At 41.8% G+C, this 19,087-nt stretch overlaps 1 pseudogene across 1 annotated transcript; it reads left to right on the forward strand.

Moving 5' to 3' along the window:
- The first annotated feature begins 6,684 nt into the window (after positions 1 to 6,684).
- SLC47A1P2 (SLC47A1 pseudogene 2) lies at positions 6,685 to 11,480 on the forward strand (annotated as a pseudogene). The gene is made up of 4 exons (NR_170227.1): positions 6,685 to 7,340; positions 8,322 to 8,416; positions 10,352 to 10,406; positions 10,716 to 11,480. The product of NR_170227.1 is annotated as an SLC47A1 pseudogene 2 (transcript).
- Positions 11,481 to 19,087: the final 7,607 nt, after the last annotated feature.

Below are 19,087 nucleotides of genomic sequence, written 5' to 3' on the forward strand. Positions count from 1 at the left end.
GCCAATTTGTGTTTCCTGTGAATGGGCCATACTTCCTGTCTCTGTATGCTCTGTAATTTTGTGTTGAGAACTGGACATTGTGAGTATTGTTATATGAAAACACTGGAAATCAGATTTTCATCTCTCTCCAGGCATTGTTGTTCTTGTTTGTTGGGGCTATTTGTCTATTTGTTTAGTAATTTTTCCAAAGTGGTTTTTACAAAGACAGAATGATCTGGCAGGGATTTCCTTAAATGCCTTTATCTAACAAGAAAGTTAAGCTGGCTTTTTTGACAGGCACTGCCTGTGAAGCCACTTCATCCCAAAGGGCCTCTATGCCAGCTCCTCAGTGGAACCTCCAGATAGATCGAAACACACAACTTTAATTTTTAGAGGATAAGGTTTTTATTGCCCAGTTTGGCACTAGTAAGCCACACTAGGAATGCAGGCAGCCATCCCTGCAGCTGCCTGCCGCGGAACTGGAAGACGGGAAAAGGTAGCCACTATGTGAAATGCAATTCACCCATGATCACCAGGCCCTTTCTTCAGGCATTCCCCTTGTTGCTCACTGCGAGTTTCTCACTAGCCTCCAGAGTGCCAAAATCATTGACTGTGACATCTCTCGCCATCAGTCTCACAAGAGACTGATTCTTGAGCTTCCTACTCCACTGTTGTTCATGATGTCACCTGGATAGAGGCTTCTCATGCTGATTTGGCTCTCGTTCTTTTGTAGAACAAATTTTTTTTTTCTGGAAATCTTTCAGATATTATTTTTGTCTCTGCTGGGTGTGCTTAGGTGTGGGTGAATCTTTTTTCTTATATTCTGCTTGCTATTTTGTAGACTTTCAATCTGAAGCATTGGATTTTTCTTTAGCTCTAGGAAATTTACCCTTTAAAAAAAATTTTACTCCTTTTCCTTTTTTCCGTTCTCTCCTTTTGGAATTCTTTTTGGATAAAGGATAGAATGTATGGATTAATCTGACATGTCTCTTTTCTCCCAGTTTCTATCTCTGTGTTTGGGATATTTTTTCAACTTTATCTTTCAAGTTGAAATGTAGTTTAGCCATGTCTATTCATTATCCAGTTTCTAAAAAAAGGTCTTTAGTGTTCATATTTTTCATTTCCAATTACTTTTCTCTCAATTGCTCCTCTTCCTTAATTGCCTGTTGTTAGCTGATAAATGTCTCTGATAATAGTAATTATAATTAAAAAAATTTTTTTTCTCTCATGTTCCTTGCATTCTTTGTTTCCTGTTGTATTAGCAGGCTTATTTTGGTCTTTCCTTTTTTTGTGCTGTTGATTTTCCTCAGTGTCTGGTGAACACTGATTTAACATTTGTATTTTTGTTTTTGTTTTTTTAATGTTGAAAATGTATTTTATTTTTCTATTTTTAAAATATGTTTTTATTTCAATAGCTTTCAGGGTACAAGTGGTTTTTGGTTACACAGATAAACTGTGTAGTAGTGAAGTCTGAGATTTTAGTGTACCCATCACCTGAGTAGTATACATTGTACCCAATATGTAGTTATTTTATCCCTATCCCACCCCCAGCTTTTGAGTCTCCAGTGCCCATTATTTCTGTATGCCTTTGCATACTCACATAGCTTAGCTCCCAGTTAAGAGTAAGAACATACAGTATTTGGTTTTCCATTCCTGAGTTACTTCACTTAGAATAATGGCCTCCAGCTCCATCCAAGTTGCTGCAAAAGACATTATTTCATTATTTCTTTTGTATGGCTTGTATTCTATGGTGTATATATACCATATTTTCTTTATTCACTCATTGATTGATGGGCACTTAGTTGGTTCCATATCTTTGCAATTGTGAACATTTGTTTTTGTGAACATTTGTATTTTTGAGTGAAAGACTGTGTTGCCATGTTGATTGGTGGAGACAGTGCAGACGTTAGGTAACTTTGCAGTTCTGTAGGTCTGTTCCAAAGAGGTCACTCTTCTGAGTCAGAGGATGTCCTGTAGGCTCTGTCTAAATTGGTGGTACCTGTTGACCAGCGGGCTTCCCTGTAGGATAAGTGGGAGAGGGCACTGGGCCTGTTTCATGTGTTTACCCACTCTAGATCCATCTCACGGGTCTCTAGTTACCTCTGCTGTGTCCCTCTCCAGAGCCCCAGCATCTTTCTGCAGAGCTCCCCAGGCAGATCTTCCACCATAACTGAACAGAGTTCAGGGGCTCCCTGAGGAAGCAAATGCTTCCTATGTGAATACTGGCCTTCAACTCCATTTTTAAGGATGATTCCCACACCCAGGCTGAAACCTGAATCGAGTTCTTCCCAATCCCCACATTTATATATCCAGATAAAGTTTTCAGAATTATCTTCTATAGTGGCAGCCTTGTCCATTTTAACCTAAATTCTATATAATAATAAATTTTAAATCAGTGAGGTTTTATTATGTACTAACTTTATAAAAAAAGAAATGTACTGTTTTGACTGAATTTATTGATAAATTTGTCAGGTTTGTCAGATCAGTAGTTAATACCCCACTTTAATGTGATTTTTAGATCACTAACTACTTTCTTTTCCTCTAACAGAGATATTACTTCCCTTGTGAGCCAAGTGATACCTATTTTTGCCCCTTTTCATCTATTTGATGCACTTGCAGTGAGTATTTGGAGTGATTTTACTCTAATAAAGATAGCAAAATTTGTTTTGTGTTTCTAGCTTTTTAATTAGAAATTAAAGGTCGGTGATTTTATTTTTAAAAAGAGAAAGCTCTTGCTTTAGACAGTGTGAGTCACTTGGGGGAAGATGGTTTATTAAAGAGTGTAGCCTCTCAAGGTGGAGAAGAGGCTTGTGAGCCAAGTGAGTTCTCCCCTCCTCTATCTTCATCTGGTGCCTGAATGCCAGGTGTTGTATCCAAGTGGTGAGGTGACCTTTGCTTGAACCCTCCACTGCAGGCCACGCCACCTTTGAGTTGACTCTGACCACTAGAAAGTCCCTGTCTAGGCTGATCTGTGGGTGTACAAGGGTTTGAAGACCTGCTCTACCCCAGAATCAGCCCATCCGGCTTCTTCCCAGTTTGAGTTTTTTCCTCATGACATGATTTCTAGGCATTAGTCATCTTTTTTTCCATGGAATTTCTTGCACTTTGTCCATGTCATCCTGAAGATGTGGCACCCATTGAAACTGTGGTAAGAAGTGTGGATGAGAAGCCTGCAATGGCGTTAATGTTTCTCAGCCATGATATTAGGCTAACTTTTGAAGAGATGCCATTGATGAAACCTCTACATCTTTTTTTAACTTACAAAATGTTTTTAAATAGTCAAGATAAAGAGTTAGAGATTTAAGTCATGTTATGATAGGTTTCTGATGAAAGGAGCTGCGGTTTTTTATTGCTGTTGTTGTTAATATAACTTTAGAAACAAAAGATTTCCTTTTTCTCTTACATAATGTGCTGTGCCTGTTTTGAGTTAGGGCCATTTGACTGTATCCATATTTCTGAGCCTTGTGATGATGACAGACTTGACAGCAACATTGGGTTTGGTTTTCCTCTCCATAGGGCGCCTGTGGTGGAGTCCTGAGAGGTACAGGAAAACAAAACATTGGCGCTATCTTGAATGCCATTGGGTACTATGTCTTTGGTTTTCCCATTGGAGTATCTCTGATGTTTGCCACTAAACTCAGGATAATAGGTATGTGTTTGAGTCCTGTGACTTGTCTCAAATCTCACTTGTCATATTAAGATAAACTGCTTGAGATATAAAACAATTGACTCCAGCCCCACTGGAAACAAGAAAACAAAATAACTCTTAAAAAAAAGCAATCAACTAGAAAGTTGCCCTTGTGTTAATAGGAAAAATTATTTTCTCCCCCAATATTTATTGGGTGCCTCCTCCACACAAATACACTGGAAATGCAATGGCAAACAAAATAAACATGGTCCTGCCCTCTGAATGAGGGCCAGATTCAATACTTATTTATACAATTGTCAATACCTGTTGGTTAAGCATTGCAAAAGAGAAGAAGAGGGCACTGCTCTTCTCTTTTTTCCGGCATAATGCCTCTAGTAGTACAATAAGTTGTGGTAAAAGTGGAAATTCTTGTCTTATTCATTACTTTAGTGATAGTGCTGCCAGTGTTCCTCTACTAAATGGTATGCTGGATTTGAGGTTGAAATACACGCACACGGCCAGGCGCAGTGGCTCACGCCTATAATCCCAGCACTTTGGGAGGCCGAGGCGGGTGGATCATGAGGTTAGGCGTTTGAGATCAGCCTGGCCAACACAGTGAAACCCTGTCTCTACTAAAAATACAAAAATTTAGCCAGGCCTGGTGGTGGGCGCCTGTAATCCCAGCTACTCAGGAGGCTGAGGCAGGAGAATTGCTTGAACCTGGGAGGCAGAGGTTGCATTGGGCCGAGATCGCGCCATTGCACTCCAGCCTGGGTGACAGTGTGAGACTCTGTCTCAAAAAAAACCAAAAAACAAAAAACAAAAAAATGCACACACACACACACACACAACTATGAATGTATGTGCTCGTGTTTTTTGAAATCATGTTCAGGAAATGTCCATGAAGTCTATTTTATTGAAACAAAAATAGTTGAGCATTTTGCCAGATGCCTTTTTAGTGCTATCAGAAATGATTCTATAATTTTTCTCCTTAGGTCTATCATGAAGATAAATACTATTAAATTGGTGTCCTCATATTGAACTATCCTGATTATGATATCTTGTTTTTTATTGAACTGCTACACTTTTTTTTTTATTTTTTTTATTTTTTTTTTGTTTAATTTTTATAATATATTTTATTTAACCCAATATATCCAAAATCATTTCTTTTTTTTTTAATTTATTTTTTTATTGATAATTCTTGGGTGTTTCTCACAGAGGGGGATTTGGCAGGGTCATGGGACAATAGTGGAGGGAAGGTCAGCAGATAAACAAGTGAACAAAGGTCTCTGGTTTTCCTAGGCAGAGGACCCTGCGGCCTTCCGCAGTGTTTGTGTCCCTGATTACTTGAGATTAGGGATTGGTGATGACTCTTAACGAGCATGCTGCCTTCAAGCATCTGTTTAACAAAGCACATCTTGCACCGCCCTTAATCCATTTAACCCTGAGTGGACACAGCACATGTTTCAGAGAGCACAGGGTTGGGGGTAAGGTCACAGATCAACAGGATCCCAAGACAGAGGAATTTTTCTTAGTGCAGAACAAAATGAAAAGTCTCCCATGTCTACTTCTTTCTACACAGACACGGCAACCATCCGATTTCTCAATCTTTTCCCCGCCTTTCCCGCCTTTCTATTCCACAAAGCCGCCATTGTCATCCTGGCCCGTTCTCAATGAGCTGTTGGGCACACCTCCCAGACGGGGTGGTGGCTGGGCAGAGGCGCCCCTCACCTCCCGGACGGGGCGGCTGGGCGGGCGGGGGGGGCTGACCCCCCCCACCTCCCTCCCGGACGGGGCGGCTGGCCGGGCGGGGGGCTGACACCCCCACCTCCCTCCCGGACGGGGCGGCTGGCCGGGCAGAGGGGCTCCTCACTTCCCAGTAGGGGCGGCCGGGCAGAGGCGCCCCTCACCTCCCGGACGGGGCGGCTGGCCGGGCGGGGGGCTGACCCCCCCACCTCCCTCCCGGACGGCACGGCTGGCCGGGCGGGGGGGCTGACCCCCCACCTCCCTCCCGGATGGGGCGGCTGGCCGGGCGGGGGGCTGACCCCCCCCACCTCCCTCCCGGACGGGGTGGCTGCCGGGCGGAGACGCTCCTCACTTCCCAGATGGGGTGGCTGCCGGGTGGAGAGGCTCCTCACTTCTCAGACGGGGCAGCTGCCGGGCGGAGGGGCTCCTCACTTCTCAGACGGGGTGGTTGCCAGGCAGAGGGTCTCCTCACTTCTCAGACGGGGCGGCCGGGCAGAGACGCTCCTCACCTCCCAGACGGGGTCTCGGCCGGGCAGAGGCGCTCCTCACATCCCAGATGGGGCGGCGGGGCAGAGGCGCTCCCCACATCTCAGACGATGGGCGGCCGGGCAGAGAGGCTCCTCACTTCCTAGATGTGATGGCGGCTGGGAAGAGGCGCTCCTCACTTCCTAGATGGGATGGCGGCCGGGCAGAGACGCTCCTCACTTTCCAGACTGGGCAGCCAGGCAGAGGGGCTCCTCACATCCCAGACGATGGGCGGCCAGGCAGAGACTCCTCACTTCCCAGACGGGGTGGCGGCCGGGCAGAGGCTGCAATCTCGGCACTTTGGGAGGCCAAGGCAGGCGGCTGGGAGGTGTAGGTTGTAGTGAGCCGAGATCACGCCACTGCACTCCAGCCTGGGCACCATTGAGCACTGAGTGAACGAGACTCCGTCTGCAATCCCGGCACCTCGGGAGGCCGAGGTTGGCGGATCACTCGCGGTTAGGGGCTGGAGACCGGCCCGGCCAACACAGCGAAACCCCGTCTCCACCAAAACCAGTCAGGCGTGGCGGCGCGTGCCTGCAATCGCAGGCATTCGGCAGACTGAGGCAGGAGAATCAGGCAGGGAGGTTGCAGTGAGCCGAGATGGCAGCAGTACAGTCCAGCTTCGGCTCCGCATGAGAGGGAGACCGTGGGGAGAGGGAGAGGGAGAGGGACAGGGAGAGGGACAGGGAGAGGGAGAGGGAGAGGGAGAGGGAGAGGGAGAGGGAGAGGGAACTGCTACACTTTTTAAATATTTTATTAAAAAATTTTGCACTAAAATTTATAAGTAAGATTGGTCTGTAATTGTATTTTTTGTGTATCTTTGTTAGGTTTTGATATTAATGATATTAATGTTATACTCACTTCTTAAAGATAATTAAAAATTTTACCTTTTTGTATGCCTCAGGACAATTTAAGTAGTATAAGAATTCTCTGTTTTATAAAGGTTTGGTGTAATTCTTCCATGAAACTGCCATGACCTGGCATTTTGAAGTAGTTTATTCTTTGTACAGCTTTCTCAATTTCTTCTCAGTCTATTAAGACTTTCTTTTATTGTGTCAACATGGGTAAGTTATATTTTTTAAGGAAATTATCCACTTTATTGAGGTTCTAAATGTAAAGAATTGTGCAAATTAACTTATGTGCTTTTGGGATAAGTTGTTATATATGTGTTTTGCATATATGTCCACATCTTCATTTTCTACAGATTTAGCAACAATGAATTTCATTTTGTTTTTAAAAAGTCTAACTAGAAAATGGAATGAGTCCTGTAATATGTACTCAAATAACTCCTTTTGTTCTGTATCCAACCAGTGCATTACTTTTACTAGGTAAAAACTCTGATTCTGTCACCATTTCTTTGTGAAGTATTAGTCTTACAGCTGTCACAAGAACTTTGTGTCAACACAAACACAGCGGCTGTTTCTTATCGTCTTTTTGGAAATGTCATCTGGTGGATTAATGAGTAAGTGTCTTCTGTGTCATCTCCCACTTAAATGACTGGTACAGGCTGGGACCATAGGATATTTTATTTCAAGCTGGAATTCGTCATTATTTATTTGGGGACAGAACAGCCATATTTATTACTGTCTCTTCTCTACCAAGCACTCTTGGATTCCCAATACTATTTTCCATCCCGTGGTTGGACGGATTGTTTTCAAGGCAAGCTTTTGAAAGCATCAGGTCTCACATCTGTGGATGCACACCCCAGGCTTGAGCTCTGTGGCAGGTCCCCGTCAGCCTTAGGATGAACCCCAGTCCTACCATGGCATTCACATCCTTTGAGCCTGCTTCTCTGACCCCATCTCCTGGATGCTCCCCTGCCACTGTGCTCCTTTCTGACTGGCCCCTCAGCTCCTGGGACTCCTCTGGCTGGGGTTCTTCTCTTCCCTCTGCCTGCAGTGCCCGTCCTAGACTTCTCATGGCGTCTTCTCGCTGCCAGGTCCCACCTTAGAGGGGCCTGGCTGTCTCATTCACATTCTCATCTGCAAATCTTTGGTGCTATGACGTGGCTCTGCCCAGTGTCTGTCCTGGCACCTCTCACTCCTAAAATGACTGCATGATTGCTTCCTTGTTTATTATTTGTCCTGCACAGCAGAACATAAACTCCCAAGGACACCTTGCTCATCTGCCTGTTCAGTTCTGTATCTCTAGCCCTTAAAACAATACCTGGCATAAAACTGAAGGCAGCAAGTATTTGTTAACATACAAGCAGCAAACAGTTTTGGAGGTGTTGTGTCGTTCATTGATTGAATGATTGCCATGAATAGCTCAGTGGTAAACTTGAGTCTAATCTTTGTCCATAATTATCTAAAATTTTATCTAAAATTTTAGGGAAATTAACTGAAATTTCACTCTATGGATACAGTAGTTAGGGAAGAATTTTAATGCTCATAGGAACAGAATTGAAAAAAATCTAAACTCTGATTTCATTTTATACCCATAGGTCTCTGGTCTGGATTGATAGTTTGTGTCTTCTTTCAAGCCCTTTTCTATCTGGTGTACATCTTGAGGATAAACTGGAGCAAAGTTGTGGAGCAGGTAACAGTCAGTGTATTATTTTAGAAACATGGCTCTACTTAATCCCATGGCATGGTAAGGAACCTCTTAGGGTCAAAATGGTAAAAATGCTATTGGCAGAATGATTCACTGTGAATCATGAAATACATCTAACATTGTGGGGAGGGGAGGCAAAAGAAAACATATTTCAGCACATTTTCCTCTTTATATAGAGCTGATTTAATATCTACTAACCAGGGACTCAACCTAAAAAAGAAAAGGAATTAGGGCCAGGCATGGTGGTTCACACCTATTATCACAGCACTTTGGGAGGCCGAGGCAGGAGGATCACTTGAGCCCAAGTGAGTGTGAGACCAGCCTGGGCAACAGAGGAAGACCCTATCTCTTAATTTAAAGATATATATATTTTGCTGTTTGGGTGTACTAGTTGTAGGAAAATAGTAGTTTGTTTCCTGTTTATACTGACTTGTTAGCTGTTCTTTATGCCTCTTTCTATTTTGTCCATAGTTTCATAAAAGCACTATGTTAAGTATCTGTGATCTGTGGGAAGTACTTTGGGGGCAGAACAACAACATGTGGATAGAGTCTGCATCTTCACTGATGTGAGCATCTACATGCTGAACTGGGAGCCATTTTTTTGTTTGTTTTTTTCTCGAGACGGAATCTCGCTCTGTTGCCCAGGCTGGAGTGCAATGGCGCGATCTCAGCTCACTGCAACCACTGCTTCCTGGGTTCAAGCGATTCTCCTGTCTCAGACTCCCAAATAACTGGGATTACAGGCACGTGCCACCACGCCCGGCTAATTTTTTGTATTTTTACTAGAGACGGTCGTGGGTTGGGGGGGTTCACTTTGTTGGCCAGGCTGGTCTCGAACTCCTGACCTCATGATCCACCCACCTTAGCCTCCCAAAGTGCTGGGATTACAGGCGTGAGCCACCATGCCTGGCCAAGCAGTTTTTATTGTTTGAGGCTTGAGATGAGATGGGTGGTTGGGTACAGTGGCTCACACCTGTAATCCCAGCACTTTAGGAGGCTGAGGCAGGAGGATGACTTGAGGCCAGGAGTTCAAGACTAGCCTGGGCAACATAGCAAGAAGCCATCTCTACTAAAAATAATAATAATACTTTTTTAAAAAAAGAGATGGGTGGTTGGCTTAGGGATTATTAATAAGGAAACAAGATGAGTTTAGGCATGTCAACCATCACTGTCTAAGCTTTGACCACCTTTATGCTTTAGATTTGCCTAACTATGATGCATTGTATCTTTCCTATCTTCTGTTTGATTTATTCAGGGACTAAACTTTATAGGAGATTAAGATGGGCCATAAACTACCCATTAGATCACAATACCATTGACCTTCAGACCTTCTTCCTTCTATCTGTGTTTCGGAGCACTGAAGGGCACAAGTGCAAATGATATGTTAAACTTGCCGCTCCAGCAACAGCAGCTTTTTATATTATTGTTGTGAACTGAGTCTGTGTTTTTCTGGTGTTGTTCTCTTGCTTTATGGCACATCCAGGACCAAGACAGACTGTGCTAGATACTGTAACCCATTAGCAGTAGGTTTCATAGTAGCTTTATTTATTTTTCGAGACAGAGTCTCACTCTGTCACTCAGACTGCAGTGGAATGGTGCAATCTTGGCTCACTGCGACCCCCACTTCCTGGATTCAAATTATTCTCCTGCCATAGACTCCTGAGTAGCTGGGATTAGCCCACCACCACGCCTGGCTAATTTTTTGCATTTTTAGTAGACATGGGGTTTTGCCATGTTGGCCAGGCTGTTCTTAAACTCCTGGCCTCAGGTGATCCGCCCACCTCAACCTTCCAAAGTGCTGGGATTACAGGTGTGAGCCATTGCGCCCAGCCCACAATGGCTTTAAGTCAAAGTTTTAGCAAACAACTACTAGCGTGATTAAACTTACTCTGCATTTACTCATGTGACACTTGTTTCTAGGCACAGGTTCAAGCTGGACTAAAAGGGAATAAAGAGACCATGCCTACCTCCTCAGGTAACAGAGGCCATTCTCTAGTATATTCAATGTCTGAGGTACGAAAACTGAAACAGTGTAGCCAGAGTTGCTCAGTTTGCAAGATCCTGCTCTCTTGCTCAATAAAACTTGTCTCAGCCCTAGTAATTGGTGAGATCACCTGTGGGTTCTCCTATGAAATATTTTTAAATGTAATTTCACATATACTAACTGATAACTGAGGGTTATTGTTTATAACGTATTCTTAGGTAAACTTCATAATATGCCTTTACTTGACATAATATGCCTTTACTGGACATAAGTGAATACCCCACTATTCTCTGCAAACAGATCTACCTATCTTGGGAAGAGAAGTAACTGATGGAATCATTTTGCCTGATATCATCAGACCAGAGAGCCAGACCCCTCGACTGATGAGACCAGAAGAAAACACCCAGTATGCAATGTCCACCGCTGGAGAGGTCCTGACAGTGAGGCAGCTGATATTCTATCATGGAATGGCTTTAGCTCTTGCTGTCACTTTCCTTTCAGCAGGAATTTTCATTAAGAGTTTTCAATGACCATGGCTAAAATGGTAGAATTACCACCATTCTACAAACTAGAAATGATAATTATATGCCATATGTTAAGTATGAAAGGTGACCTTGTTATTTGGACAGTTTTTACTCTTAACTGTGGATGGAAAGAATATCAGGGATGTTTCCTTGGTTATTCCAAGGAATTGCACTATCCTATTGGAGATCAAGAAAGGGGCTATAATTTTAAGTAAAGTTTTCCCTGTTAATTTTATCATGGTTTCTAAATATACAAATTAGATTTTCCTTGATGTAAAGGTTACTTACTCTTTCTTATTTCAAACATCTTTCTTCTCCTGGGGAGTGGTTCATAGTCCTGTAAAATATTATTGCTGATCTATTTTCTTTGTATTTCTCTATGAATGTACTTAATCTTGTCAGTGAGTGTATATTAAGTGCTTGTTCAAGTCCTATCTCAGGTATTGCCATATAAGCTTTTATAAAATGGAACCTCTTAAAATTTACAATGTATGCTGACAATATTTGGAGCTATACAGTCAATACAAAAGATTAACTTTTAGCATTTTTGCCTTTTAATTAATTTTGTGGCAACTTTCATTTAAAGTAGAAAATAAAGTAGAAAATAAAGAGCTGTGTTCTCTTCTGCTACTCAGCTCCCAGAATGCTGGCAGCTATGGTGGCCTCATCCTCAAAGCAAAAGAGTTTTAGTCTTTTATAGGAAATTAGACCAGCCCAAAAAGAAAATCCTTAAAAAAATCTGAATATTGGGTATTCTCTCACACAAAGCCCACCAGATTCCCAGGAGAGGAGCCCACAGTGGAAAGCACCCAATGTCACCAGTGCTTCCCTTAGCTTATTTGTCTCCCTCTCTTGAGTGTTAACAAGCAACCCAGTATTATCAGATTATTTGTGAAAATCCAATTATAGGAGAAAGCAACCAGAAAAAAAATAGGCATTATAGGGAGAAAACTTACATCTTCAAAGAGGTAACGCAAAATATTTCAACTATGATATAGAATAGGATGCTATAGAATAAAACATTCAGTCAGGTATGGTGGTACACACTTCTAATCCCGGCACTTTGGGAGGCTGAGGCAGGTGGATGGCTTGAGCCTAGGAGTTCAAGACCAACCTTGGTAACATGGCAAAACCCCATCTCTACAACAAAACCACACGTCTGTAGTCCCAGCTACTCAGGATCTGAGGTGGGAAGATCACTTGAGCCCAGGAGTTCGAGGCTACAGTGAGCTCTGATCACACCACTGCACTCCAAAAAAAAGTTTTTTTTCCAGAAGATTATGTATGTACGTATGTATGTATGTATGTATGTATTTAGAGACAGGATCTGGCTCTGTCTCCCTGGCTCAAGCAGTGGCATGATCACAGCTACTGTAGCTTTGATCTCCTGGGCTGAAGCGATCCTCCCACCTCAACCTCCCATGTAGCTGGGACTACAGGCGTGTGCCACCACTTCTGGCTAATTTTTTTTTTTAGTTTTAGTAGAGATGAAATCTCGCTATGTTTCCTATGGTGGTCTTGAACTTCCGAGCTCAAGAGATCCTCCTGCCTTGGTCTCCCAAAGTGCTGGGATTACAGGCGTGAGCCACTGTGACTGGCCCTAGATTTTATTGAAGTAAAATTCATATAACATAAAATTAACCCTTCCAAAACATTTTTATCATACCAAAAAGGAAACTCAGATTATTAACCTCTCACTCCCCATACCCCTCTCCCTGAGTTCCTGGCAACCACTAATCTGCTGTCTGTGCCTGTGGATTTACCTATTTTGGATGTTTCATAATGAAGGAATCATAGAACATGTGACCTTTTGAGTCTGGCTTTTTGAACTTGGCATGCATGATGGTTTTGCAATTCCTCTATTTTTTTTTTTGAAACAGAGTCTCATTCTGTCACCCAGGCTGGAGTGCAGTAGCACGATCTCAGCTCACTGCAACCTCCACTTCCCAGGTTCAAGCAATTCTCCTGCCTCAGCCTCCTGAGTAGCTGGGACTACAGGTGCGTGCCACCATGCCCGGCTCATTTTTGTATTTTTAGTAGAGACGGGGTTTCACCATGTTGGTTAGGCTGGTCTTGAACTCCTGGCCTCGTGATCCACCCACCTCGGCCTCCCAAAGTGCTGGGATTACAGGCATGAGCCACCATGCCTGGCCCGCGATTCCTCTATGTTGTAGCATGTCTCTCAAAACTTGATTCCTTTTTCTGGCTGAATAGTTTATTGTGTGATATGCCACCTGGTGTTTATTAATCAGTTGATGGACTTTTAGATTGTTTCTATGTTTTGGCAATTGTGAATAATGCTGTAGTAAATACTCGTGTACAAGTTTTTGTTTGAACACCTGTTTTCGCTTCTTTTGAGTCTATACCTAGGAGTGGAATTACTGGGTTATATGATAATTCTATTTTTTTTCTTTCTTTCTTTTTTTTTTTTTTGAGATGGAGTCTTGCTCTGTTGCCCAGGCTGGAGTGCAGTGGCGCGATCTTGGCTCACTGCAAGCTCTGCCTCCTGGGTTCACGCCATTCTTCTGCCTCAGCCTCCTGAGTAGCTGGGACTACAGGCACCCGCCACGATGCCTGGCTAATTTTTTGTATCTTTAGTAGAGACAGGGTTTCACCATGTTAGCCAGGATGGTCTCAATCTCCTGACCTCATGATCCGCCTGCCTCGGCCTCCCAAAGTGCTGGGATTACAGGCGGATAATTCTATTTTTTTTGAGGAACTGCCAAAATGTTTCCCATGGTGGCTGCACCATTCTTCATTGCCACCAGCAGTGTATGAGGTTTCCAGTTTCTCCACATCCTTGCTAACACTTGTGATTTTCTTTTTGATTTTAGTTATATCATACTAGTGGGTGGGAAGTGGTGTCTCATTGTGATTACTAGAGATCACATACTACTAATAATGCCAAGCCTATTTTCTGAAATACTTCAGAAACTCAGATACACATAAAGAAAGGAATTATGTACTAGAAAAGGAATAAATGAAGGTAAAATATTTTATCCTTCTTATTTTTAATTGATAAAAAATATATGAAAATAATAGCAACAATGTATTTGGTTATTACAGCTTGTGCATAGCTAAAATGAATGACAACAGTGTTATAAGGGTCAAGAGGGAGGAACTGAGAATATTCTAAGGCACTTGCATTACCCATGAAGAAGAATAGTGTTATTCAAAAGTGGAATTAGGTTAGTTGTAAATGCATATTGCAAACTCCAGGACAACTAATGAAAAAGTTTTTAAAAAGTAATATAATCAATATGCTAAGAGAAGAAAGAAAATAGCATCTCATAAAATGCTCAGTTAAAACCACAATGGAAGAAAAAAAGTAACAAGGACAACAAAGAGAAAAGGTGGGCAGGGCGTGGTGGCTCACACCTGTAATCCCAGCACTTTGGGAGGCCGAGGTGGGCAGATCACGAGGTCAGGAGATAGAGACCATCCTGGCTAACAAGGTGAAACCCCGTCTCTACTAAAAATACAAAAAATTAGCCAGGCGTGGTGGCAGGCGCCTGTAGTCCCAGCTACTTGGGAGGCTGAGGCAGGAGAATGGCGTGAACTCGGGAGGCGGAGCTTGCAGTGAGCTGAGATCGCGCCACTGTACTCCAGCCTGGGCAACAAAGTGAGACTCCGTCTCAAAAAAACAAAAAACAAAAAACAAAAAAATAGAAAAGGTAACATATACAGATACTAATCTCACTATACCAATAATGACACCTTTTCTTTGAAAAAAAAAAAAACACTTAATAAAGTGAGAATAGAAGGAAAGCTCCTCAAAATGATAAAAGCCATATATGACAAACCTCCAGCTAAGATCATACTCAATGGTGAAAGACTAAAAGATTGTCCCCTAAGATCAGGAACAAGACAAAAATGTCTGTTTTCCCCACTTCTATTCACAATACTATTGAAAGTTTAAGATGGTGCAATTAGGCAACAAAAAGAATAAAAGGCATTTACATTGGAAAGGAAGGAGTAAAATTACCTGTGTTCAAAAATAACATGATCTTATATGTATAAAACCCTTAACATTCCACAAAACCATTAGACTCAATTAACAAATTCAGAAGTCACAGGATGCAAATCACAACACACAAAATGAGTTGCATTTCTATACACTAGCAATGAATGATCCCAAAAAGAAATTAAGAAAACAATTACATTTTTAATAGCATCAAAAAGAATCAAATGCATAGGAATAAATTTACCATGGAGGCAATAGACTTGTACACGAAAAACTATAAAACATAATTGAAAGAAATTAAAGAAGACATAAATAAACGGAAAGACAATCCATACTCATGCATATGAAGACTTAATACTGTTAAGATAACAATATTACCAAAAGTGATTTAAAGATTCAATGCAATCTCTATCAAAATCCCTAAGACATATTGCAGAAATAGAAAAATCCACCCTAAAACACATATGGAATCTCAATGGACCCAAATAGCCAAAAATGTCTGACAAAGAAGAACAAAGTGAAAGGACTCAGATTGCTTGATTCCAAAACAAACTACAAAGCTACATAATCACAGTGTGGTATTGGCATAAAGACATGCCTATGGACAGAATTGGGAATGCAGAAATGAACCCTTGCATATATGGTCAAATGACTTAAACAAGGGTGCCAATACCATTCAATGGGAAAAGGAAAGTCTTTTCATCAAATTGTGCTGGGAAAACTGGATATCCACATAGAAAAGAATGAAGTTGATCCCCTATTTACGATATATAAATATTAGCTCAAAAGTGGTCAGTCTGGGTACAGTGACTCACACCTATAATCCCAGCACTTCGGAAGGTCAAGATGGGCTGATTGCTTGAGCCCAGGAGTTCAAGACCAGCCTGAGCAATATGGCAAAACCCTGTCTCTACAAAAAATACACACACACACACACACACACACACACACACACACACACACACACACAAAAGGTGTGGTGATGTGTGCCTGTAGTCCCAGCTACTCAGGAGGCTGAGGTGGGAGGATCACCTGAGCCTGGGAGGTGAAGGCTGCAGTGAGTTCTGATTGCACCACTGTACTCCAGGGTGACTGAGTGAGACCCTATCTCAAAAAAAAAAAAAAAAAGTGATCAAAGACCTAAACATAAGACCAAACACTAAGCCTGCCAGAAGAAAACATAAGGGGAAATCTGGATTTGGCAGCGATTACTTGGATATGCACAAGCAACAACAACAAAATAGATAAACAGGACTTCATAAAAATTAGAAACTTTTGTGCATAAAAGGACACTATTAATAATATAAACAGGTAACCTTCTGAATGGGAAAAGGTATTTGCATAGTATATATCTGATAAGGGATTTATGTTCGGACATAAATTCTTAACAACTCACAAGAACAAAATATACAAACAGCCTAATTCAAAACTAGGCATATGGCTGGGGATGGTGGCTCACACCTGTAATCCCAGTACTTTGGGAGGCCGAGGCAGGTGGATCACTTGAGGTCAGGAGTTCAAGACCAGCCTGGCCAACATGGTGAAACCCCATCTCTACTAAAAACACAAAAATTAGCTGGGCATGGTGGCAGCCACCTGTAATCTCAGCTACTCAGGAGGCTGAGGCAGGAGAATCACTTAAACCTGGGAGGCGGAGGTTGCAGTGAGCCAAGATCACGCCACTGCACTCCAGCCTGGGTGACAGAGCGAGACTCTGTCTCAAAAACAAAAAACAAAAAAACTAGGCATAGGACTTGAACAGACATTTCTCCAGAGAAGATACATAGCTAACCAGGGCATGAAAATATTCTCTCTGCATCACTAGTCATTAGGGAAATGCAAATCCAAACCACAATGAGATATTACTTTATACCTATTATAGGGGTCATTACAGAAAGAAAACAGAAAGCAAGTTTTGGTGAGAATGTGGAGAAATTGGAACTATTGTACATTGCTGATGGGAACATAAAATGGTGCAACCACTATAGAAAATAGTATGTGAGATCTTTAACAAATATAGAATTATGATATGCTGCAGGGACTCAAACAGATATTTGTACACCAGTGTTCACAGCAGCATTACTCACAATAGCCAAAAGGTAGAATCAACCCAAATGTCCATTTTGTAAATGGATAAACAAAATGTGGTATACTTACAATGGAATATTAATCAATCTTAAAAAGAAATGAAACTCTGATATATGCTATAGCATGGATGAACCTTAAAAACATTGTGCTAGGGCTGGTGGTGTTGTGGCTCTTGCCTATAATCTCAGCACTTTGGGAGATGGAGGCAGGAGGATCCCTTGAGCTCAGGAGTTTGAGACCAGCCTGGGCAAAATGGTGAGACCCTGTCTGTACAAAAAATTTTAAAATTAGCCAGGTATGGTGGCACATGCTTGTGGTCCCAGCTACTCAGGAGGCTGAGGTGGGAAGATCACTTGTGCCTGGGAGATTGAGGCTGCAGTAAGCCATGTTTGTGCCACTGCACTCCAGCCAGGGTAACAGAGCAAGACCCTGTTTTCCCCTAAAAAGAAAACATTGTGCTAAGGAAAATAAGCCATATGCAGGCCTATTATACAAGGACACTTGTACAAGTACGCAAAGACACATCTTGTATGATTACACGTATGTGAGGTGCCCAGAATAGTCAAAATCATAAAGTATAGAGGTTATTAGGGGATTGAAAGAGAGCAAGAGGGGAATTATTGTTTATGGGTACAATTTCTGTTTGGGATGATGAAAATGATCTAAAAGTGAATGATATTGATGGTTGCAGAACATTGTGAATGTACTTAATGTCACTGAATTGTGCACCTTAATGGTTAAAATAGTAAGTTTTATTTATTTTATTTCAATAATAAAAATGCCTGTAATCCCAGCACTTTGGGAGGCCGAGGCGGGTGGATCATGAGGTCAGGAGATCGAGACCATCCTGGCTAACAAGGTGAAACCCCGTCTCTACTAAAAAATACAAAAAATTAGCCGGGCGCGGTGGCGGGCGCCTGTAGTCCCAGCTACTCGGGAGGCTGAGGCAGGAGAATGGCGTGAACCCGGGAAGCGGAGCTTGCAGTGAGCGAGATTGCGCCACTGCAGTCCGCAGTCCGGCCTGGGCGACAGAGCGAGACTCCGTCTCAAAAAAAAAAAAAAAAAAAAAAAAAAATAATAATAAAAATGCCTCACTTGGATCACAAACATCTACAAAATTCTACAGATAACATATTAGTCAAAAGAAGCTGCATGCCTTCCTGCTAATATTAGGAACAAAGCAAGGATGTCCCCTCTCACCACTCATTTTCAACATCGTAACTGAAGTTTTAGCTAATGTAATAAGACAAATAAAGGAAATGTATACATATTAGGAAGAAAGAAATTAAGCTGCCTTTGTTCACAGATAACATGGTTATCAAGGTAGAACATCCCAAATAATCAACAAAAAAGATTTCTGGAACTAATAAGTGATTATAGCATGGTATCAGGATGAAAGTTATTATACAAAGTCAATTATTTTACTATACAATAGCAATGAACACTTTGGATTTGAAATTAAAATTAAAAACACCACTTACATTAGCACCAAAAAGGGGCGGAAATACTTAGATATAAATCTAAATATATACAAGATCTATATGAGGAAAACTACAAAATTCTGATGTAAGAAACCAAAGGAGATGTAAATAAATAAAGAGACAGTCCATGTTCATGAAAATGAAGAGTTGAAGTTGAAAAGATGCCAGTTCTTCTCAACTTGATACATGGATTCAACACTCTCAATCAAAATCTAGCAGTTTATTTTGTGGATATTGACCAACTTGATTCTAAAGATGACATGGAAAAGCAAAAACCCAGAATAGCCAACACAATGTTGAAGAACAAAGTTGGTAGACTGACACTACCAACTACAGGATTTACCATAAAGGTAAACACAATAATGTGGCATTGATGACTGAATAGACAAATAAATAGAACAGAATACAAAACTGAAAATGGATTCACACTAATACAGTCAACTAAGGTTTGACAAAGAAACAAAAGCAATTCAATGGAGAAAGGACAGCTTGTTTGACAAATGGTACTGAAACAACTAGATATCCACATGCCAAAAAATAAAACAAAACCAAAACCTAGAGAAAAATCTTGTATCTTTCTTTTCTTCCTGACATGCATCACTATAAAACTCCTAG

This window comes from Homo sapiens, chromosome 17 (assembly GCF_000001405.40).
Source record: "Homo sapiens chromosome 17, GRCh38.p14 Primary Assembly".
Classification (NCBI taxonomy): Eukaryota; Metazoa; Chordata; class Mammalia; order Primates; family Hominidae; genus Homo; species Homo sapiens.